General features: G+C 45.5%; 5 annotated features.

Moving 5' to 3' along the window:
* Window positions 956–2,155: an enhancer, noted in NCBI's record as "CDK7 strongly-dependent group 2 enhancer chr15:67179855-67181054 (GRCh37/hg19 assembly coordinates)". NCBI's record gives its function as "activates an origin of replication core promoter dependent on BRD2, BRD4, P300/CBP, MED14 and CDK7 cofactors, with strong dependence on CDK7, by STARR-seq in HCT116 cells {active_cell/tissue: HCT116}" and the evidence as "EXISTENCE:reporter gene assay evidence [ECO:0000049][PMID:35650434]".
* Window positions 13,913–15,112: an enhancer, noted in NCBI's record as "MED14-independent group 3 enhancer chr15:67192812-67194011 (GRCh37/hg19 assembly coordinates)". NCBI's record gives its function as "activates an origin of replication core promoter dependent on BRD2, BRD4, P300/CBP and CDK7 cofactors, and independent of MED14, by STARR-seq in HCT116 cells {active_cell/tissue: HCT116}" and the evidence as "EXISTENCE:reporter gene assay evidence [ECO:0000049][PMID:35650434]".
* Window positions 17,355–17,404: a silencer, noted in NCBI's record as "silent region_6571". NCBI's record gives its function as "represses an Ori minimal core promoter by ATAC-STARR-seq in GM12878 lymphoblastoid cells {active_cell/tissue: GM12878}" and the evidence as "EXISTENCE:reporter gene assay evidence [ECO:0000049][PMID:35858748]".
* Window positions 20,075–21,235: an enhancer, noted in NCBI's record as "VISTA enhancer hs660". NCBI's record gives its function as "enhancer in: neural tube[3/9] | forebrain[5/9]" and the evidence as "EXISTENCE:transgenic organism evidence [ECO:0001131][PMID:17130149]".
* Window positions 21,670–21,739: a silencer, noted in NCBI's record as "silent region_6572". NCBI's record gives its function as "represses an Ori minimal core promoter by ATAC-STARR-seq in GM12878 lymphoblastoid cells {active_cell/tissue: GM12878}" and the evidence as "EXISTENCE:reporter gene assay evidence [ECO:0000049][PMID:35858748]".

Genomic DNA, 23,086 nt, shown 5'->3' on the forward strand with positions numbered 1-23,086 from the left:
GCAGCGAACTGGCGGGAGCCTCCCTCATTGACGGATGAGGCCCACTGCCTTTGCCAAATAGGGTCGGCGTGATGGATCTTTTACTTGTGAATATTATAGCTGGAAATTAGCATGTTTATTGAGGTAGAATGTGTTTGTTTACATTCCACTACCCATGGCATTACCTCTTATGACCTGACTTATTTAGTTGAGGATAAGCACAAATGATCTGCATTTTGGCACCCACAAAAAATTAATGAACTTCCAGATATAGAATTCAGCCTTAAGTAAACACACTAGCGAGGTGAGTGGGGGCAGAAGGGCTGGGAAGGGGGCTGGGGAGCTGAGTGCTAAGCAGGTTAGCCCTCCTGGTGCTCTGCTCTGACTTGGAAGGGGCAGGAGGTTGGGGGTGGATGAAGGTGGGACTGTGTGATCTAGCATCCCCGAGCAGTGCCCAGGGCCAGCGCCCCACATGTCAGTTGAGTTGAGGTGGCTTCTGGGTGATGGAGGAGGGAGGTGAGAGAGGACCCGGGTTGTGAACTCCTTTCCTGGGGATTCTCCTCGGCTACCTGTGTCTTTGATCAGGAATGAGAAGCCTGGTCCAGGCTACAGACCTAGGGTGGGGAGGGAGGACGTGTGGACAAGGACGATGAAGATTCAGGTGAGGGATCACAGCACTTGAGAGTCCAAGCTGCCACCTGAGCCTGCTCCTCTCCTAAGCCTTCCATCTGCTGTGTCTGTGAAACCCAGCTTTTCTCCCCACCCCATTTGCTTATAGGCACCATGATCTGGGGTGAAAACACTCACTAACTCAACATTTTCTTGTTTAATTTATTTTTTTTATTTTATTTAAAAAAATTTTTTTTTGAGATGGAATCTCGCTGTGTTGCCCAGGCTGGGGTGCAGTGGCACAATCTCGGCTCACTGCAATCTCTGCCTCCTGGATTCCAGAGATTCTCCTGCCTCAGCCTCCTGAGTAGCTGGGACTACAGGCATGTGCCACCACGCCCAGCTAATTTTTTTGTATTTTTAGTAGAGACGGGGTTTCACCGTGTTCACAGGATGGTCTCCATCTCCTGACCTCGTGATCCACCCGCCTTGGCCTCCCAAAGTGCAGGATCACAGGTGTGAGCCACCGCGCCCAGCCAACATTTTCTTATTTTAGAAGAGGAAACTGAGGTTCAGAGAAGTAGAAGGATTTGGCCAAGGTCTTGGAGGTGGAGGCAAACCAGAAGCCTGGCTCCCGAGTCTCCTGCTGCCCACCTGATGTAACCACCCAAGGGGTTCACCTTGCCACTGCCTAGACAGAGCCGATTCATCAAGACAGGGGAATTGCAATAGAGAAAGAGTAATTCATGCAGAGCCTGCTGTGTGAGAGACTGGAGTTTTATTATTACTCAAATCAGTCTCCCTGAGCATTTGGGGAGCAGAGTTTTCAAGGATAACTTGGTGGGTGGGGTGAGCCAGTGAGCCAGGAGTGGTGACTGGTCAGGGATGAAATCATAGGGAGTTGATGCTGTCTTCTTGTGCTGACTCAGTTCCTGGGTGGAGGCCACAAGATCAGAAGAGCCAGTTTATTGATCTGGGCAGTGCCAGCTGATCCATCAAGTGCAGGGTCTGCAAAATATCTCAAGCGCTGATCTTAGGAGTAGTTTAGGGAGGGTCAGAATCTTGAGGCCTCCAGCTGCATGACTCCTAAATCATAATTTCGAATCTTGTGGCTGTTAGTCCTACAAAGGCAATCTAGTCCCCAGGCAAGAAGGAGATCTGCTTTGGGAAAGGGTTGTGACTGTTTTTGTTTAAACTATAAACTAAGTTTCTCCCAAAGTTAGTTCTGTCTATGCCCAGGAATGAACAAGGACAGCTTGGAGGTTAGAAGCAAGATGGAGTCGATTTTGCAAAGGTGGTTTCAATCCTTCCCTTTGGGGTTTATAACACCTTAATCTTAAGGTGTAGGCTATAAGGATGAGAAAAGGCCGTCGATCACTCTGGCTTCTTCCTGCTGATAGGGGACGTAGTGGGAATGGGAGTGAATGCCAAGGTGAGAAAAGTGGAACCGCTTTCTAACTGTCTGAGTGTACTCATGCAGGCCTGGCTGGGCTTCCAAGGCTTGTGTGGGAAAAACATTAGTGCTCTCATCTATAGTTTTACTACAATGTTTAAGTGAACAGCCTACTATAAGGTAATAATGAGTCCTAGGATTAGAAGTACAATTCCCAATTTTAAAAGCAAAGATTTGAAAGCATTAGTTTGGGGACTTCTAAACCACAAAGAATTTAGAATTTAGTCTATACTGCAGAAAAAACCTCAAGAACAGTTAACGACAATGCACTATAGTTTTCTTTTGAAGCATAATTTTTCTCTCTCCAGTCTCCATTTTTATTAAAGACAAATCATGATAGAACTGATTTGTTTACAAAATAATACTGTACTTGGCTTGACTATTTGCATAAAGTACAGCAAGAATAATTATTTTTCACTTAGGCTTTTTAAGTTGGCTTTGATAGAACTCTGTTCCATGAAGAATCTCAGATAAGACTTTTTAAAAGCTGAGCCTAGCCATGGGTTTGTACCCTCAAATACCTATGAGTTTGGCAAATTCCTCTCCTTTTGAGGTTCCAAGGTAACTTGGGATTTCTGGGCCTGTTAGAAAGTGACATTCTTTACTTACCACAGGTCAGAAATCTTGTACAGGTACTCTGTGTGGACAAGGTATGAGGCCAGATGCCCCAATGGGCTTTAATTGGTGCTATAAGTCAACTTTGATTCTTTAAAGGAAGCATGCCATTCCAGTCAAAGCCTTGGTAAAACAACCAATTTCTCCAATTGTGTCCTGTTACAAAAGAAAACTGATTCTTATTGCACTTATGCAATTAACTATACTGCCATAAATTGAGAATACTCACAAATAGTTTCCAAATTCTGGAGAAATCAGGTAGAGAGGAACAAATATGCTTCAAATTTTGTTCATAGGAGTGTATTTTACTCACTTGTTAAAAGTTGCAAATAGCTCTAAAGAAATAAGTTCTCTTGACTCCAAAAACAAAAGGTTTAGCAGTGTTTAACACATTAGCTCTCCATGAGAATCCTAGAAGTTTGGTTTTTTTCCTCTATTCCAACAGCACAATTTTTAAAGTTATCTGAGAGCTGCACTCAGAGTCTTATATCTGATTATAAATTGCCTTTTGAAAAGGACCAAAGCAAGGCAAAATGTCTGTGGGTGACAAAAGTCTATAGGCACTATTAAAGCTACAATTGACTAGGAAATTTGGTTACTTCTGTGGAATACAACAATTTTACATAACAATTATAATTATTGATAATGTACACTAAATTATATCAACATTATAGAAGTTTCCTATAGTTGTGGACCACATACCAATAACATATTTATACAAATACAGTCCAAGAAAACCAAACACCATTCACTCTTCTATTTGAAAGTTTTTTTTCTATCCTAATGTCACAAACTCCCAGAGTTATTTATCAGAAACCCGTATTTAAGAGCACCTGGGCCAGGTGCAGTGGCTCATGCTTGTAATCCCAGCACTTTGGGAGGCCGAGGCAGGCAGATCACCTGAGGTTAGGAGTTTGAAACCAGCCTGGCCAACATGGTGAAACCCTGTCTCTACTAAAACTACAAAATTAGCCAGATGTGGTGGTGCATGCCTGTAATCCCAGTTACTTGGGAGGCTGAGGAAGGAGAATCACTTGAACCTGAGAGGTGGAGATTGCAGTGAGCTGAGATCGTGCCATTGCACTCCAGCCTGGGCAACAAGAGAGAAACTCCATCTCAAAGAGCACCTGTTAAATTTTATAGCTGATTATAAAATGATCCTTTAAAGAGGAGCAAAGTGAGACAACAATTGTCTGTGGATGACAAAAACATTTTAGGGTAGCCACAGTTAAAGGCACAATTGACAAGGAAATTTACCTCTGTGGCACACAGTCATTTAACATAATAATTATAATTATTACAGATAACATATACTAAGTCATATTAGAATTATAGCAATTTCACATAATTTTGGAACATATACCAATAACACATTTACACAAATATAGACCAAAGAAAGCCAAACACCTTTTCATACTTGACAATGCTTCCTGCATGATTTTTGTACCAAATAAGCCAAATGTCATTTTTGGACTTTAGAGGACCTAATATTTCAAATATTAGGTTAGAAAGAGACAAAATTTATAATTTGATTTGGGAAAGTTTGTCATATATCAAAGGTTTAAAACACTGGATATCACAAAATAGAATCCCAAGTCTCCATAAGTCATTCATCTGGCCAAAATGATAACTCCAAAAAAATTAAAAAAAAAAAACCTTTACTCTGATAGAGGAGACTTAGCTTTCCAAACAAGACCCAGTAATGATAGCATGAGGCTAACTGCATTTGTCTCTTCTCTCTCCTCCCTTTTTTCCCTGCCATTTACCCAAAGGAGAAAACAAAGCCCTTTCATTATCTTTTAACATTACATAAAAATCATCTTCAAAAGATAAAACCAAATTTCATTTTTGCATTAGTACATCTTTAATGTTAAAGGTAGTTTTTTAAATAAAATTTTATATCTTTATCGAGTATTTTTTTTTTTGAGACGGAATCTCTCTCTGTTGCCCAGGCTGGAGTGCAGTTGTGCGATCTTGGCTCACTGCAACCTCCGCCTTCTGGGTTCACGCCATTCTCCTGCCTCAGCCTCCCGAGTAGCTGGGACTATGGGTGCCCACCACCACACGTGGCTAATTTTTTGTATTTTTAGTAGAGATGGGGTTTCACCTTGTTAGCCAGGTTGGTCTTGATCTCCTGACCTCATGATCTACCCGCCTTGGCCTCCCGAAGTGCTGGGATTACAGGCGTGAGCCACCACACCCCACCAAGAAGTTCATAAACTTTTTAGAACCCTTTACAATTTTCCATCAAACAGCAGATCAGTTTTCTAAGAACACCCTGTCATTAGGACAGATGGGCCCAGATTCTGGCCCCACAACAGTATCATTTTAATGTTTTAACCTACAGAAAAAAGCTAAATAATTTCTTTTAAATCTTAGCCAACTTGTGTATACTCACAGAATTTTTTAATAAGATTAACCCTTTACAAACCCTTTTCCCTTTGCTTAAACCTTCAGTTTTGTTCCATTACTCTTTTAGGTTAAGACAATCTTGAAAACCCCCTAAACTACACAAAATTACATTCCCTTTAACAAAAGCCATATTCCCATGCCTTCTTATCATCTTTTACCAAAAACACACTCCCCACAAACCTTGTATGTAAAACTGTTTCTCCAGTGGTCTCAACTACATGTTACAATGTTAAATCTTAGCAACTTTTATTTTTAGTGAAAAACCTGGTAAGTGATTTTAATTATGTACTGGGGTGGAGCCTATGACATCTGACGGAAGTGAAGATAAGGTCTGGCTGTTAGCATAGCTGGAGGGCCTGGCTCTCCATATGTCCCCAGGCCTTATCTATCACCTAATGCTCCAAAGTAGTAAATCAAACAATTTTCAAAAGTCAAAGAAACAGTTGGACCTTAAAGCATTTAGCAAATCTGATATCTGACCTTAATTTAGACCAAATGTCTACGTTTTCAAGACATTTTATTTTACTGGTAATTTTTAAAACTGTCTTTATTTCTGAAAGATTACTAAAGTCACATGAACCAAAAGGCATTAGTTTCTATTTTTCTGACAAAATATTTAAGTGCTTATTTTTCTAAGCCAATTAACCAGAGCTCTTTTATACAAACATCTCACACACACACACACACACACACACACACACACACAACACATATGAATACAAACAGACAGAAGATTCAGCACTTGTAAGATTTTTCCTCTGCCAGTTTCTTAATTGGGTGACTGGCTTTAGGGTGGAGCCCTTGGAGGAACAGGGCCGGGAAAGCATGCATTTCTAGAGCCAAATAAGCAGCAAATAAGCAGTTGAAGGCAAAGACAGATCTCCAAAATTAAGGGTGCCATTTTATACTGGATCCTGGATCCCCAGCAGGAGGGCAATACTGCGGGAGAAGACCGTGCAGTGCTTCTACCCTGCATTCCATTCAAGGCAACCCAAAGCCAATCAGCCCATTTTGTAAACGGCCCATCTCTCACAGGAGTCTCATCTCCCAGTAGGGGGTGGGGATGCCTCCTTATCTTCCAGGTGGCCGAGAGCGTGCGTCTCTGATCCAGGTGTGCAGAGTCAAGTATCCCTCCACAACTACTATTAGCCACCCCCTAAGGTATATTTCCTACCTAGTTATCATAATGTGAAATAATTTCTGATACCTCCAAAACTCAAAACCATCGGATAACACAATGCAAAACAGAACAGAGCCTTTGATTTTGAGAGGTATCTATCCACTTTTAATTCCTGGGGTTTCGTGAGGAAAACAGAGGGTGTTTTTTCCTCCAAAATGGGGTCTGTGGCACCTCCTCTGTTTTTCCCAAGGAGTCCCAGGCTACCAGAAGTTATCGTAGGGCCTCTCATGTGTGCATTAAGAGAGGCAAGACAAAAAAAAATAGAGAAAAATAATACAGTCGACTGAGAAGGAAAAATCTTGTTCCAGAAAAACAAATTCCAAGAAGAGAAATACATAAGGGCCTTTTAAAGATACCTATAGCTTGTTTATCCGCTTTAAATTCAGCTGATTTTTAACCATAGCACTCTTAAAAAATATCCTTTACAATTTTTTTATTACCAGAATTTAGCCACACTAAGCGATCAATTTTTGGCTTTTGAATTCTACCACAGGTAACTTCCCACATGAAATTAATCAGTTTTAACTAAGGTTATAAATTAACCATGGACACATAGATGTCTCAAGGAGATGGTAAGCAGTTTCTTTTTTTTACAAGATTTAGAATCTCCCCCAAGGTAGTTTAGAGAAAGGAAAATTCAAGACAGGAAATCAGAAGCTATCCATGGTGGGGCGGCGGAGGGCGGGGGAACCTCAATAAATGGCAAAGTTATATAAATAAAAAACCAGAAAGGAATTATTCCGGAAGCCAAGAATAGAACTCAGGCTGCCATTGTCAAAAAGCAAAGCCTCAGCTACTGAGTTACAGCATTGAGCAGTTTCTATTGCTCTTCTCAGAAGGAGCCTAGAGAAGCCAATTTCAAGCTTGCAAAGGCTTTTAACTGCTCAAGATAATTTTTAGGGCTAACATGAATCTCAAAATTCCTGTCCTCTGGATGGTGGAAACCAAGAGAAAGTATCCACACATGGTCATAAGGTTAAACTCTTAAGGACACAAAACAAGACAAAGAAATTTCATCCGGTATGGGTTTCAGAGACCTGCAGCAAAGTTTGTAACTGAGCAGCCTGCCAGGCTGGCTTGAAAAGTGGGCTTATAGGGGTCCTAAACCCACATTCTATCCTGTGATACCCCTCTCTCCATTACAGTACCAGAAAGACAAATTCTTAGCACAAAGTACACCAGATTTGCTACTGCCTAAGACTAGTCTCACAAATCCTTTTTCTATTAATCAAATCCTTGCAGAGAGACAAATAGTGACATTTACTGTTTACCCAGACACAGAAAGAGATAGAGAGACTAGAAACTTGGCTGGTAAGAATTTCTTACCCTTTTTGGTGGCATATTAGGTTTCCGGGTTCCCTTTCTCTGCAACTTCTAGAAGAACGGAGTGGCTTCTGATGACCCTGCTTGCTCGTGCTATAGCTGTGGGGTTCAAGCCACTTTACAAGAGAAAATCACCCTTTACCATTTTATGGAACCATAGGCAAGATTCTTAATTTGCAAGATGCTGCCCAACGGGCTGCATGGGGACCAAATTAACATTTTCCATCCCAGCAAAACACACATAACAAAACAAACATTAGTCACCTCATTCAGCACCCAATATCAGCCTGGGAAAGCTCAAATTTTTTCCCTTTGGTCCCTGTTGTCTTTGATCTACTCCAGGTGGGGGGAGGTGACTTCTGAAAAGTAATTCACAATGGGGTCTCTGGGCAAGGCGAAAAGCAGATAGTCACCCCAAGAGACAGGCCTTTAGGGCTTATCGAATGTGAGCAGACAAATAAGGAGCGTTCTCTGAGTTAGACCTGCTGGACTTCCATCAGCAACCCCTCTGAGATCCCTTCCACATACACAAACACACACAAAGATGAGACAGACAGAAGGCCTTCCAAATCAGATCCCTAACCAAGAACTCCAAGAGTATCCCTTCCAAACTATCGTCCTATTCTCCGTCTGAGAAAGCGCCTTGAAATCTTCCTGTTGAGAAGTCTCCCAAACCAAGACTCTACCAGTTAGAACCAACCAAGACACCCCCAGGAGTCAAACAAATACCCCACAATGGGGCTACAGACACAGACACCCCATGGTGGAGCTACAAACAGACAACCCTCAATGGGGCTACAGACACCACACCACAGGGCTATAGAACCAGTTGGGGAAGAAAGGAGGCATTGGCAGCACCTAGGATACTCACCAATCTAGACATCCCATAATGGGGCTACAGACAGACACCCCACCATGGGGCTACAGACAGACATCCTGTGATAGGGCTACAGTTAAGGGACATCTCCCCAGGACTATTCCTCCTCTGCAATTAAATCCATGAACATTGGGTCAGCAGTGCCCTGCCAGTAGAGCGAGTATCAGAGTCAGCCCCTAGTCCAAGAGAACTAGGTGGCCACTTGGGCTGGCTTCTGGATCCATTGCTGAAGAGGGGCCACTGAACCAGGGGCAGGTAGCCACAAGGGCAATCCTGGAAGAGCCCCAAAATTTGCAACTGCCCAAGGGGTTCACCTTGCCAGCTGCCTAGACAGAGCCAATTCATCAAGACAGGGAAATTGCAATGGAGAAAGAGTTATTCACACAGAGCTGGCTGTGCAGGAGACTGGAGTTTTATTATTACTCAAATCAGTCTTCCCAAGCATTTGGGAAGCAGAGTTTTTAAGGATAACTTGGTGGGTGGGGGGAAGCCAGCGAGCCAGGAGTGTTGATTGGTCAGGGATGAAATCATAGGGAGTTGATGCTGTCTTCTTGTGCTGAGTCAGTTCCTGGGTGGGGCCCACAAGATTAAAGGAGCCAGTTGATTGATCTGGGCGGTGCCAGCTGATCCATCAAGTGCAGGGTCTGCAAAATATTCCAAGCACTGATCTTAGAGCAGTTCGGGGAGGGGGTCAGAATCTTGTAGCCACCAGCTGCATGGCTCCTAAACCATAATTTCTAATCTTGTGGCTAATGTTAGTCCTATAAAGGCAAACTAGTCCCCAGGAAAGAAGGAGGTCTGCTTTGGGAAAGGGTTGTTACCATCTTTGTTTAAACTATAAACTAAGTTTCTCCCAAAGTTAGTTCTGTCTATGCCCAGGAATGATCAAGGACAGCTTGGAGGTTAGAAGCAAGATGGAGTCAGTTAGATCTCTTTCACTGTCTCAGCCATAATTTTGCAAAAGTGGTTTCACTGACAGCTTTAAGCCTGAGGCCTATCTTATAAGAAGGTACGGGGGTGGACCTTCTGGGATACTGCTTCAGGGACCCATAAAGGCCTTGTCGCCTGTGTCTGGCAGGCAGATGCCTTTAGAGGCAATTAACTGCAAATGTATCTCACTACAGGTGAGGAAACCAAGGCCCAGAGAGATCTGGAGATTTTCCACAATGTTCCACAGTCACACAATGAAACGAAGGGACAGATATTTCAGGAGCGCATTCTTGCGTTTCCGACACACCAGAGCTTTCATATACAAATCTCCTCCCCAGTCTGTCGGCACTGCTGTGGGCATCAGAAAATGGACTGGCTGTGCAGACACTGGAGAAGCAGGCAGATCTAGGGCCTAATATCTGTGAGAAGGGGCTAGGAACATGGGGTCTTGGATCTTAGTGAAGACCCTGAGCTGAGGGGGTAGATCGGGGCCGGAGACAGATAGGAGTGGGAGAACATTGCTGCAGGCTGAGGGATCCCTCCTGGTGCAGAAAGGAGATGAGCAGGTAGCTCTGACCAGCTCAGAGATCAAGTTTTTAATACTCTGATAGAGCAGGCAAGCCAGTACTATCAGTTATGGATAGTATTCAGCAGCAGGTAACCAAGACTCAAAAAGCTAAGACTTAACAAAAACAAAACACAAAAGATGAGGCATATCTTTCTGTCTTGCACTGTGAAATCCAGGGGTGATCAGAACTGGGGCCACAACTCCAAGGTACCGCCAAAGACTCTAGCGTCTCCTAGCTTTCTTCTCTGCCAAGTGCCTCTGCTAGTGGCTTTCACCCTCAAGGTCACCTTCTAATCACAAGGTGGCCATTGGCTCTCCAAACATCAGGGCCACATTCTAGGTAGGAGAAAGGAGGAGGGGGAAGGGTGCCTGGCAGCGGAGTCAGCTTCCTTTCGAAGGAGGCTTCTTGGAACCCCACCCAAGAAGGGAACAACTTTGGCTTTTGCCTCATTGATCAGAATTGGTCATGCGGCCAGCCATAGCTATAAGGGAGGTTGGGAAATGCAGATTTTGTAGCTAGTTCATGGCTCCCCCAATCAGGGCTGTGTGAGTAAGGAAGAAGGAAATCACAGATATGGGGTGAACAGACCACAGTCTCTGCTTCCTTCCCATAATTTGCAGGTGAATAAACAGGCTCAGGGAAGGAAGCAATTTGTCAAAGATTGCAGATAGTCAAGGGCGTACCTGAGACCAGACTCCAAAATTGCTGCCTCTGAGACTGGTGCTTCTTCCACTGTCTATACCTCTTCACTCTGTAGCCACACATCTGGCCCCAAGCAATAAAGTTATTCTTTATTAAGCATTAACTGTGCACCAGGTACTATGATAAAGGCTTTTGAAGCTTGTTTTCATTTAATCTCATCACACCATTTAAGGTGAGCATTATACAATTCCCATTTAAAGAGGAAGCAACTGAGGCTCAGCTAAATTAGGTGACTGCTGCAGGTCACAGAACTGGTAAGAGCAGAAGCAAACTTCAAACCCAGGTTCCCGACCCAGGCTGTGAGCAGTTAGTGCTTGTGATTAAAATGATCCAGGGACACCCCCAGTAAGCTGCTGAGTGGAGGTGGGTCTCTCTCAGTGACTCTGTAGTGTCAGGAGTGCCTTTAGTCGGCCCCGAATAGTTGGGCAACAAGCCTGGCATCAACTGAGGGAGCTTCCAGCCCCCGCCCACCTGACCAGCCTCCCTCTCCACAGTTCCCCATTCCAGCCAATTACTCCTAATGGAGTGATATGAAATGTAACTAACTCAGGGAAATATCTGTATACTTTAATTAAATCAGTTTGCAATTAGCCATCTGAGTAATGAGGCTAAGGTATTTTATCTCCCTGTGAGCCAGCGGGCTAGAGGAACCATAGGCAGAGGTACTTTGTGTGAATAGCGTGGTCCTGGGGGCTGAACTCCTCAGGGATATAGACGCAGGTGTTGGAAGCCCCAGGAGAGGGTTTGGCCCAAATCTACTATGATTAAATAAATATGGCACTTTAGAGAGGCGCTACTAATTTGTGGGACTAAATTTTTAATGGCTACAGCATGTTGTCTTATTAAAGAAATAGCGGGGACTTTCATCCGAACACTTCATGGCAAAGGGCTAAAAATTGCACATGTCCACTGGGTGTCCCTGATATCCCCAGACATGGCAAATGCCTGGCTGGGCAGGTTGACCAGTGTGCAGCAAGGGGCTTTCCCAGGAGGCCTGCAGCTGGGATGGAGGCCAGGACTAGTGCAAGGTGGGTGAGGCGACTGAGAGCAAATGGGATGGAGGCCAGAACTAGGGCAAGGTGGGTGAAACGACTGCATTGAGAGCAAAATTTAAGGAGGCCTCCAAATACTCAGTAATCAAACAATACTTTAATTTGATATGTATTTTAATGATAATAAGCAAAATTTTAGAATTTTAAATAAAGACAAGGTCAGCAACATTGCCACACATCACAACCGTATTGGAGCCTCAGGCCAAAGGAAAAGTTGGTAAGTAATACTAATCTTGTCGTTACTTAAAGTTTTAATATTTTGTTCATCATGGATTTTGTGCATTAATTTTGATTTTAAAAAAGACTGCATTAAAATACAGTGTATCTTGATTAATGAGCCTTAGCTGTGTTTCTGGGGGGTGAGGCCTCACTCACTCCACCCCCGCCCCACACCTGCCACTGGGCTGCCCCTCAGTATTTGTGTCTTTTTCGGGAAAGTGCTCATTCTGTGTGCCCCTCCAAGACCCAGCTGGGTTCTTAGGGCTCTAAATGTTAAAACTTCATGGTGGCTGAAAGGGAGGTGGCACTTGGAACTCGAGACCCTTCAAGCAGACAGCAGTCTCATGATGGCTCCAGCATGGCCCAGAGACCAGAGGCATCTGGCCTGAGGTCACACAGTGGGTTTGCAGCACAGCTCAAGCTGGAGCTGGAGTTTCCTGTTTCCCTACAGGGCTCTTTCTCATGGGAGGAGGGGCAGGCCTTTCAGGTGATCCAGGGTGAGCGTCCCCACAGAGCCACCCTGCATACTGGAAGGCTCTAATAAGATGACCCAGGGCACAGAGTGTTGATTGGCTGTCCTGCCTACCCCCAGCGAAACCCTCTTCTCCCTTCCAGTGACTGGGCAGAGGCTGCCAAGTGACCCAGCTCTGGCCATTAAGACATAAGCAGAAGTTGCTGAGTGTGGCTAATGGAGACAGACTCAGCTTATGTCTCTCTGGCCCTTTGTTTACTCTCTGCTTCATTCAGGTCTTTGCTCTCTGTCACCTCCTCAGAGAAACCTTCCCTGACCGTCTTATCTGAAATAGCAACTCCATCACTCTCCACCCCTTTTTCTTTTTTCTTTTTCTTTCTTTCTTTTTTTTCTTTTTGAGATGGAGTCTTACTCTTTCACCCAAGCTGGAGTGAAGTGATGTGATCTCAGCTCACTGCAACCTCCGCTCCCCCAGATCAAGCAATTCTCCTGCCTCAGCCTCCTAAGTAGCTGGGATTACAGGCACCCGCCACGACACCCAGCTAATTTTTGTATTTTTAGTAGAGATGGGGTTTCGCCATCTTGCCCAGGCTGGTCTCCAACTCCTGACTTCAGGTCATCCACCTGCCTTGGCCTCCCAAAGTGCTGGGATTACAGATGTGAGCCACCATGCCTGGCCTCCATTTCTTTTTCTTGCCTTATATTTTATGGCCCTTATCAATTCCTCCCTGCCATTATGTTACGTAATTAATTGTACTTGCCTCCTCCACAAGAATGAGCTCCACGTGGGCAGGGCTCTCCTGTCTGGTTTCAGGCCATATCCCCAGGGTCTAGAATGGTGCTTGGCACATTGTAGGTCTTTAATAAATATTTCTTGAATGAATGGACATACTCTGAGCCACTGGGTGCCTGAACCTTTACTCCTGCCTCTGACATCTGCCAGCTCTCTGTGGTGGCCGGTTAACTTTGTCCCTGGAATTAGAATTTCTGCCTCCTCTGGCACAAGCTCTCAGTACCTAAATGTGAATTCCCATTGTTGGCCCCTGTGCTCCCCTGCAAGGGACGTCTGGACACCTCAGATCCCAGCCAGTTTGCCCTCGGGCTCTGCCGCCACCAGCTCTGTCTCACCAGACACCCAGCCATCTCTATCCCCAGTTATGGCTGGGGACCCTCCGCCAGGGGCATCCTTTCCCATCCTTCTTCATTCTTATCCTCAGTGTCATCATCCTTGTGGGATCCCAGGCAGTGATGACACTGCATGAGGACTTTCCTCCTCCCTCGTTGGCAATACTTCAAAAGCCATTACCTCCTCATTCTGATTTCCAAAATGGAGCCTGCCTCTAAGAAAACAAAATGAATGGGTTTGGTGTGCCAGCCTCCATTAACTGGCTACCCGAACAAATCAACAGCAGAAATTCAAGGAAGTTGCTGGAGCAAATTGAGAAGCCAGATTATTTGGGTTTCTTGATTGAGATTGGAAGAATAATTATTTGAGGGTTCCATTTAATAAGCTTTGTTTACTAACCCCAGGTCCTGTTTTGATACTTCCACCTCGATTATTGGGGGTGGGGCCCCCTAAGATAAATAATTTTGACATTATTGCTGATAGGGGCCTCAGAACTCATTTAACTCAATCCTTTCATTGTATACATGGAGAAAATGAGGCTCAGAGAGGAAAAGGAGCTGCTCAAGGTTCCCAGGGATTAGAGACTCCAAGCCAGGGTGCTTCTACTTGTAAGAAAACCAGCAAGAGGGTCAAGGAGCCCACGGGCGTCCTTCTGAGATGAGACATCGGTGCATCCTGAAGAAGGCTACAGACCCCAGTGTTCTCACCAGGCAAGGAAACACTGAGACAATTACCCTGGCAGGGAGAGCGTGCCATCATCTCCAGGGACCTGAGTCTTCCTAGGAAGGTAAAAATGGCTGCCACATAGGTGCCCCCTTCTGCTTGGGATCCCCGTCTTTACCTCGTAATCACTGACAATGCCGCAAGTCCCAGTACTTCAGAGAATTACTGAGTGCGAGCGGTAGTCTGGGGAAGCTACCATGAGGCCCGGGGAGGGGACTGGAATTGCCCAGTTCCGGAGCAGCCAGGGCTACAGTCCAGGTCTCCAGAGTCCGCAAAAAGGGTACCGCTCCCCACTCCACACTGCCCCAGTCCAGTTCACAGCACTGAGATGTTGACCTGGGAGGCAGTGAGGCCAGACCTGGATGGCCAGCCCTGGCAGATGTCCTCTGTTCCTTCACGTGAGCTGGGAAACAGGGTGAGAATGGATAGTAAGTGATCTGGGGAACCAGAAGAGGCAGGGTGTGGCCAGGGAGGCTTCCTGATGGGAGAGTGGAGTCTCTGTGCCTGAAGGAGGAAAAGATTTTGGTGGGCCAAGGGATGTTTGTCAACAGTAATACTGAGTGGGGAATCAGGGTGCATTAGAGGGGTCAGAGGAAACTCATTCCTTCTACACATTTTCTGATCCTTTATTAGGTGCTGGGTTCCTGCATCTGCCATTTATTTTAATCCTCACAGCAACCCTCTAAGGAGGCAGTTGTTGTATTTTCACTTGGCAGTTAAGGGAAGTGGCCCAGAGAAGTGACATCATTGCCTGTTCACACAGGAAATGGTAGAGAAGGAATTTGAACCAGGAATAGATGTCTCTTTCCACTCTAAGATGTACAAACTGCTCATAGTGGATTCCTAGGAATAGGCTTTCAGGGAAGGCTCATAGGTGGGCCCATAGGAAAGGGGGTTCAGAGGGCCAATTATATTCTGGGCCACTGCCACTGTTGGGCCTGGCTCCCTCTTTGAAATATTCACAGAAAGTCACCTGACCCCTCTAATTATTCATATGTTTGTTCTTCCCACAAACGCAGCCAGCACCTTCTCTGCGTCAGGAGCTACAGTGACTATTGGGGGTGTAGAGGTGCCTGCTTCCTTCTGCAGCTCAAGCGTCATTCATATGAAATGACTGCAGGATCCCTGACCAGCTCAGCACAGCAACCCAGCTTCCCTGGGTGGCAGGGCTGCTTCCCCAGAGGTGCCATGTGTCTGATGGGCACCATGACAGTGGGTCTGGCACCAACACCATCTTTACCCCGCACTTGCATCAATACGATCCAAGCTGACGTTAATTCTCTTAACAGCTATATGACATCTTTATTTTTTAAATTTCTGTTTTAGTTCTCTTCCTTGCAAGATATACCACATCTTTAGTTAGAAATTCATTTATGGATTACTAAAACCTTAGGGATTTTTTTTTTTTTTTTTTTTTGAGATGGAGTCTCGCTCTGTCACCCAGGCTGGAGTGCAGTGGCGCCATCCTGGCTCACTGCAAGCTCTGCCTCCTGGGTTCATGCCATTCTCCTGCCTCAGCCTCCCGAGTAGCTGGGACTACAGGCGCCCACCACCACGACTGGCTAATTTTTTGTATTTTTAGTAGGGACAGGGTTTCACCACGTTAGCCAGGATGGTCTCGATCTCCTGACCTCATGATATAAGAACCTGCTATATCACATCAAGTGTCCGCCATCCCATGCTCATGCTCCGGCAATTGATTGTTTGAACCTAAATGGGAAATGTCACATTTTTTGTCGTTCGATTTCACTTTATTGCATTCAGCCCATTTTTTGTAGCCTATTAAACACTTTTCTAATCCAGATTTTGTCACTCAAGTGCTTCTGCCCCATGCCTGGAGATGCAGAAAGTCTGCCTTTAGAGTCTTCATAAAAGGGAGTAAAAAGCGGAATAGAACAGAGATAAGGATGGGCCTACACAGTTTCACCAGAGACCTCCCTCTAATCAATTGCTCCATATTCTGTGTGCAGGGTTGATTAACCAGCTGTGTATCTGCATGTTTAAACTCTCTTCTTGCCTCACCTCTCCACTTTGTTCACCAGTCTAACAAGAGAGACTTACAAAATGCTTGGCAAAAATAAAAATGCATTAGGCCTAAAGCGTCTCATCAGAAGGGAAGCCAGGTGAGTTTGGGGTAACTTTTCTTAGTGAATCCCCACTGACTTTTAGCAGTCACCATTTCTTTTCTAACGACTTGTAAACTAGGAGAACACTATCAATTGCAAAAGAAATTTCTCCAAAGGGCAGCAACCCCTTTGCAGGTCAAGGATGACATGATTCCATTGCAGCTGGAGACCCAGCTTCCTCCAGATGCAGGAGGTGCAGATCTGGAAGAAACTCGCAAAGAAGGCTGCACCGGGGAGGGTGTGCCAGGAACAAAGCCACAATAACATTCTGGGAGAGGACAATTAAAAACCCAAATCTGGGAAAGATGGTAGAAACAGAATGAGCTGGGACCTTTGGTCCCACCTCAAGATTGAAGCCATGGAAGAGAATGGTCCATTGAGTACAGCTATGGCTGAAGCCTAAAAGCCCTGGACCAGAAGCAGGTTAGACACAAGACATGGGCGCACTGGGAGCTAAAGGCACCAAAGGGTGTGACAGCAGCTGGAGCTGGGTGGTCATTTTCAGAGCCATTAGACTTGCAATCACGCAAAGAGGCTGGCTTTCTTTTTTTTTTCTTTTTTTGAGATGGAGTCTTGCTCTGTCACCCAGGCACCTCCTGGGTTCAAGCAGTTCTCTGCCTCAGCCTCCCGAGTAGCTGAGGTTACAGGCGCCCACCACCATGCCCAGCTAATTTTTGTATTTTTAGTAGAGACAGGGTTTCACCATCTTGGCCAAGCTGGTCTTGAACTCTTGACCTCATGATCCACCCGCCTTGGCCTCCCAAAGTGCTGGGATTACAGGCGTGAGCCACCACGCCCGGCCAAGGCTGGCTTTTTAATACAGATATGTGCCGTCAAATCCTGGTTAATTGCCCCCTAGGCATCGTGCCTGCAAATCTCAATACGACCACCAGAGGCGGCATTTGCCATATTTGATATAGGTAGAGTTTTCCAAAACTTGCCACCTGGTGGCTGCTATTGGAACCACAGGACCGATGCTTACAGGAGACACATCTGTTAGTATGACGCACAGGATAATGCTTAGGATAAATCATTCAATTTGCATAAGAGTGTGCCAACTTATTTAATGTTTGTAAATTCACAGTAGCCATAACAATTCTGAGTGGTGAGAAAACCACTTATGGAGGAGAAACAAAGAAAAAATACCAATGGAAAGAAATTAAATAGGAGTATTTATGTGTTGGGGATAGATGGAAGGGGCTGTTCAGACAAGACAGATGACAAAAGGCAGAAATTTAGAAGGAAAAGAAAATGGGTCAGCTTAACGAGATTAGAGGAGTTTCTGATCCATGCATCAGACCCAGCTAATCCCGTCACTCCTAGGGGCCTCCCTCACTTTGCCACTTAATTTAGTTCAACAAGCTTGTATTGAATACAGAAGTGTTTCTCAAGAGGTGGCCAGGCCTGAGCAATCCAAGAGTCTGTTCTTCATCAAGCCTCTCAGAGAGTTTGTCTCCTGACTTCTGTGACATGCTTTGGGTAGGAAAGATGTCTTTCTACCTCATGCATTTTAAAAACATTATTTTTAATTGTAGTAAAATATACAGAACATAAAAGGTACCATTTTAGCCATTTTTAAGAGTACAGATCAATAGTAGTTTTTTTTCTGTTTTGTTTTTTGTATTTTGTTTTTGTTTTTTGTTTTTTTGAGACAGAGTCTCACTCTGTCACCCAGGCTGGAGTGCAGTGGCATGATCTCGGCTCACTGCAACCTCCACCTCTTGAGTTCAAGCAATTCTCTGCCTCAGCCTTCTGAGTAGCTGGGATTACAGGCATGTGCCACCATGCCCGGCTAATTTTTGTATTTTTAGTAGAGAAGGGGTTTCACCATGTTGGCCAGGACGGTCTCGAACTCCTGACCTCATGATCCACCCGCTTCAGCCTCCTAAAAAGCTGGGATTACAGGCATGAGTCACTGCACCTGGCCCAGATCAGCAGCATTAAATACATTTACATTATTGTACAGCTGCACCACTATCCACCTTCAGAACTTTTCATCTTCCCAGACAGAAACTTTGAACTCATTAAACCTTAACTCCACACCCCCTTTCTCTGCAGCCCCTAGTAATGACCATTCTACTTTGTCTCTATGAATTTGACTCCCAGGTACATTGTATAATTGGAACCATACAGCATTTGTCATTTTTTTTTAAGAGACATGGTCTCACTCTGTCGCCCAGGCTAGAGTACAGTGGCGTGATCATGGCTCACTGCAGCCTTGAACTCCTGGGCTCAAGAGATCCTTTCACCACAGCCTCCCAAGTAGATAGGACTACAGGCACAGGCCACCACACCTGGATTTTTTTTTTTTTTTTTTCTTGTAGAGGCAGAGTCTTGCTATGTTGCTCAGGCTGGAGTATTTATCTTTTTGTGACTGGCTTATTTCACTTAGCGTATTGTCCTCAAAGTTCATCCATGTTGTGGCATGTGACAGAATTTTCTTCCTTTTCCAGGCTGAATAATATTCCATTGTATGGCTAGACCACATTCTGTTTACACATTCATCTGTTGGTAGACATGTGGGTTGCTTCTACCTTTTGGCCCCTGTGAGTATGGCGGCTACAAACATTGCTGTGCAAATATCTCTTTGAGACCCAGCTTTCATCTCTTTTGGGTATATACCCAGGAGTAGAATTGTTGAACCACATGGTAATTCTATTTTTAATTTTTGAGGAACTGCCACACTGTTTTCCAAGGCTACCTTATGCCTCCTTGTGAGGAAATGCCACCCCCACTTAAGCCAAACACAAAGTCCTCCAAGGAATAAGAGGCAGAGCATTCCCGAGGTGGAATTCCATCTCCAGCTGGAAAGGAAGGGCTTGTATTTTCCAGTTGTACCTTTTGCTTCTCCCCCTCATAGCCCCCACCCTGAACACAAGTAGAACCCATATATTTAAGCCAAATTTTAAATACTCCAAGGCTGGAGTGAATAGCCTCCGTTTCCTAGTGGGATTGGAGGAGGCTGAGGCCAGATAGTGAGTTGGGGGGCCACTGTTCTCCGTCCACGGGAAGCCTAGTCCTCTTGACCCTGGAGGAACCTGGGATCCAATTGAAGACTGATCAGATATGGAAGGAGAATACAAGCCAAGAGGTAATGGAAAGACACAAAACCAGTCTCTCCTTCTAAACATTTGGCCTTGCCTCACTGCAGACAGGACAGCTAGCTCCTCTCAGAGCAAAAAGGACAATGGAACCCAGTCCTGCCATTACTTTATGCCACCTGCAGGGGACAGCCTGGTACAGAGGAAAGTGCAGCTTTGGAATCAGAGAGAGCTGGGTTTAAATCCTTCCTCTGCTACTTACTGGTCCTGTGATCTCAAGTGTTCCTCCACTTCGAGACCCATTTCATAGTCCTCAAGGCCAGTGATGATCATGTCGAGTTCTTCACTTTGTTGTAAAGAAAGGTGACATGACATAGCAGATGGACAGCGTCAAGCACAGTGCTGAGAACATAGGTATTCCATGGACATTCCCTTTCTTCCTTCCTCTCCAATCCTTCCTCAGTTATTGACTTAGATCATCTTCTCCAAGTTTTCTTCTCTCCAGGCTGCCAGGTGCAGACTTGGGCACTGATCTTAGCAACAGTGGCTCCACTTTTGATTATTTCATGTCGGTTTCTGGGTCCCCATGTATAGCTCAGACTCATCCTTCTCACTCCTCCCTATCCAAAGTGTGACTGGGGATGGGGGGCTGAAACCACCCCACCCCTCCCAGAGCCAATTCCAAGGCCAGGCAAGCCAAGTGCTCTCTACTCTACTCTTTCTTCTGGGTGCAGACCCTGTGAGGGGAGTTTTGGTTTTGCCAGCCACGACCAGGCCAGCCCCTCCCTTGTCTGGCTTTTGTTAGATTGTGTTACAACCTTACTGTTACTTAACTGTAGAGGACTTGGGGATGTGCGTGCTGTGTGTGTGAGAGAGAGAGTCTGTGTGTTAATAGTAACTTGTGATAGATGCCTTTGGCGCCCACACATTCAATAACACCCACACTCACAAAAAAAGAAGTGGGGAGGGGAGTCGTTTTATGGGAGATAACATAACTGCTTGCAATTTGGCTATTCATTGTATCTTTGGCATTTTATGTACTGCATTAGCGGAGGCAATTTCATGCATATGGATATAATGCATTAAGTGGAGGCATTTAAATATAGTGAAACTAATTTTATGATGATTAGTTGAAGGAAAACATTGCATTCGTATCATCTATATAGAAGCCAATTTGCATGAAAATGCCCAAAGTTGCTATGCCAACATTTTCTGTGCTGCTGGTCGGGGTCGCCTCCGAGTCAAGACTTTGTATTAAAAATCGGTCTCCAGTGCCCATGTCTTTTAATTCATTGCAAGCTGTAGGCCATTTGCTCACAAAGCGCTCGCAGTAAAACAAATGAATAGCTAAAATACTCATTTGCATGATTCCCATTTGAAAACGATTCCCCTGAAATTAAAAAAGCGTGTTACTCGGTTGTGAAGATGGATGGGCCAGTGAGGCGGGCAATTAATATTTTCAGCGTTCTCTTTAAAGCCCTCCCAAGACTGAGAACAGCACATGCTAGACAAATTGGGCCCCACAACAGTTTCAGGGCCTCAGCGGCAGCAGCTTGCTTCCACTGTCTCTCCTTTATTGTCTCACTTACATTATGCAGTAATTAAAACTATTTACCATTCCTACTTATCTGCCATCTGCCACCACGGAAGGTTCCTCTTCTTTAGAAAGCCTTCTTAAAGAGCGGCAAGAACAGGAGAAGAGTTGGCACTGACTCTGGAAGGGGCCTCGGGGGTCTTTTCCTGCCCCTGCCATGCCCACCCATCCCTCCATGAAGCGAAGGTGTCAGGAGGTCATGGTATGTGAAGCTGAGTTTCTGAGTGAGCTGGTTGTATGTGGGGTGGGGGTGTTAGAGCACAGCTTCCTCCACCTTTGGGAAGGAATCTCAACTTAGATCTGGGGTTATCTTTATGTCAAGGGAGAGCCTAGGCCTGGATCCTCCCACAGGTGACAGCTGAAAGGGGTCTGGGAGCTTTGGCCATGCAGCTGGCCATCAAAGCCACCAATTACAGTTGTACAGGTTGTTCACTGCACAAGCATAGCCAACCCAGGGCACTGTGAAGGCTGAAGTCTATCCTGTGATCTGTTCATCCATCTGAGGTCCTTGTGGCGTATGTCTGCCCCAAGGGGCCACCTTCAAATGCACACAGAAGGCATTCTATGACCTAGCTGGAGCCTTGTTTGAGGGAAGCCATTTTGAAAGCAAACAAGTCTCTGCCCCCTTTTCTGTGGCAAATGATACCTCCCAGAGTGGTCATTCTACAATGGGACCTAGCTTTGCACAGGCTTAGCATTTGCTTGCAGAGGCTGAGCTAGGCTGTCCAAAGAGCAGCCTCCTCTGTGGGCGTTTCTACTACCTCCTGCACCCAGCCCCCAAAGCCAGCACAGACCGTGTAAGGAGAAGCCAAACGCAGTCAGAAACGGGAACTAGCTCTCTCACCAGGACACAGTTGCCAGCCTGGAGCCTGCAGACTTGTAGCAGCTGGCAGGCTCTGGGAGGACAGGGCCTGTTTCGAGAGTGGTTTCTGCTTCCTCTTCTTTTCAGAGCCCACCCCAGTCCTGGGCACACAGCACGTTTCTCAAAGTAATTGTTGAATGAAGTGGTCAGCAAAGTTTGCAGCCTTCCCTTCACTGCCTAGCTTTGAAGCCTCCTCTGAAACTTTATCGAGTAGACACTCTCAGCTCACATCTTCCCGTTTTAGTGATCCTTTCCTGGTACACAGCCAAAGGATTTGTATTTGCCTAGAACTGATCCTTTTAGCTGTGAGCTTTCTGGCTGCATTCCTCAGCCCATGCCTAAAAGACATGCACAGCAATAGGTGCTGTGTCTGCCCAAGGCCTGGAACGCCCCTTCCCTGTCTTCTCATCTCTGACACTTCATATCTGTTTCTCCATCCTCCTAGGAAATGGGACCTTGCTTGCCCAGGCCCACAGACTCAGCTCTCTTGGCCTCAGCTAACTTATGTGGGTTTGAGTTGGTGCTTGGTATGACTGTCACAGCCTCCATCACCAGGGGGCTCTGGAACATCCTGGCCTTGGGCAGATCAGGGAGGATGTCTGGCCATTCATAATGAAGTGATAATGCTTTATTGAAGATACTGGCTTGGGTTCCACACCGGGAAAGGTGAATTTCAAACAAGAGCTTTGTCCATCAATGGTGAGGACTCCATCTCTGGAATGAGTTAGTGAGTTCCATGTTGTTGTCACTAAGGATGTGGTAGCATCTGAGAGTCACACAGAAGATTCTCCATCCCTAACTAACACAAAGGCCCCTGCTGAGCACTGAGGGCTCTCCTGCTGCCTAGGCGAACCAGAAACTCATTCTCACTAATGGGACAGAGAAGGAACATTCGTGGAGCATGCGGGTCATAGAATTAAAATAGATAAGTATATACGTGGGGAAAAGGCAAGACTTAACTTAGAGAACAGTCCTCTCTAAGGCCTGGCTATAGGCACGGAGGGATCAGGGGTACCCGTGTAGCATTTCAAATGCTGTCACATCAGCAGCTGCTTATACCACCATCAGGAAACACGCTTCCCACACAAACCTCACCACCGTCCACCCAGGCTCCTGCAGACTGGCCAGGGCACCAGATGCTACCAGTTCACTGGAAAGTACACTGACCTTGGAGTCCATAGCCCTGGGTTGGAGTCTCCCCTCTGCCATCGACTATCTGTCT

Source organism: Homo sapiens, chromosome 15 (assembly GCF_000001405.40).
Source record: "Homo sapiens chromosome 15, GRCh38.p14 Primary Assembly".
Classification (NCBI taxonomy): Eukaryota; Metazoa; Chordata; class Mammalia; order Primates; family Hominidae; genus Homo; species Homo sapiens.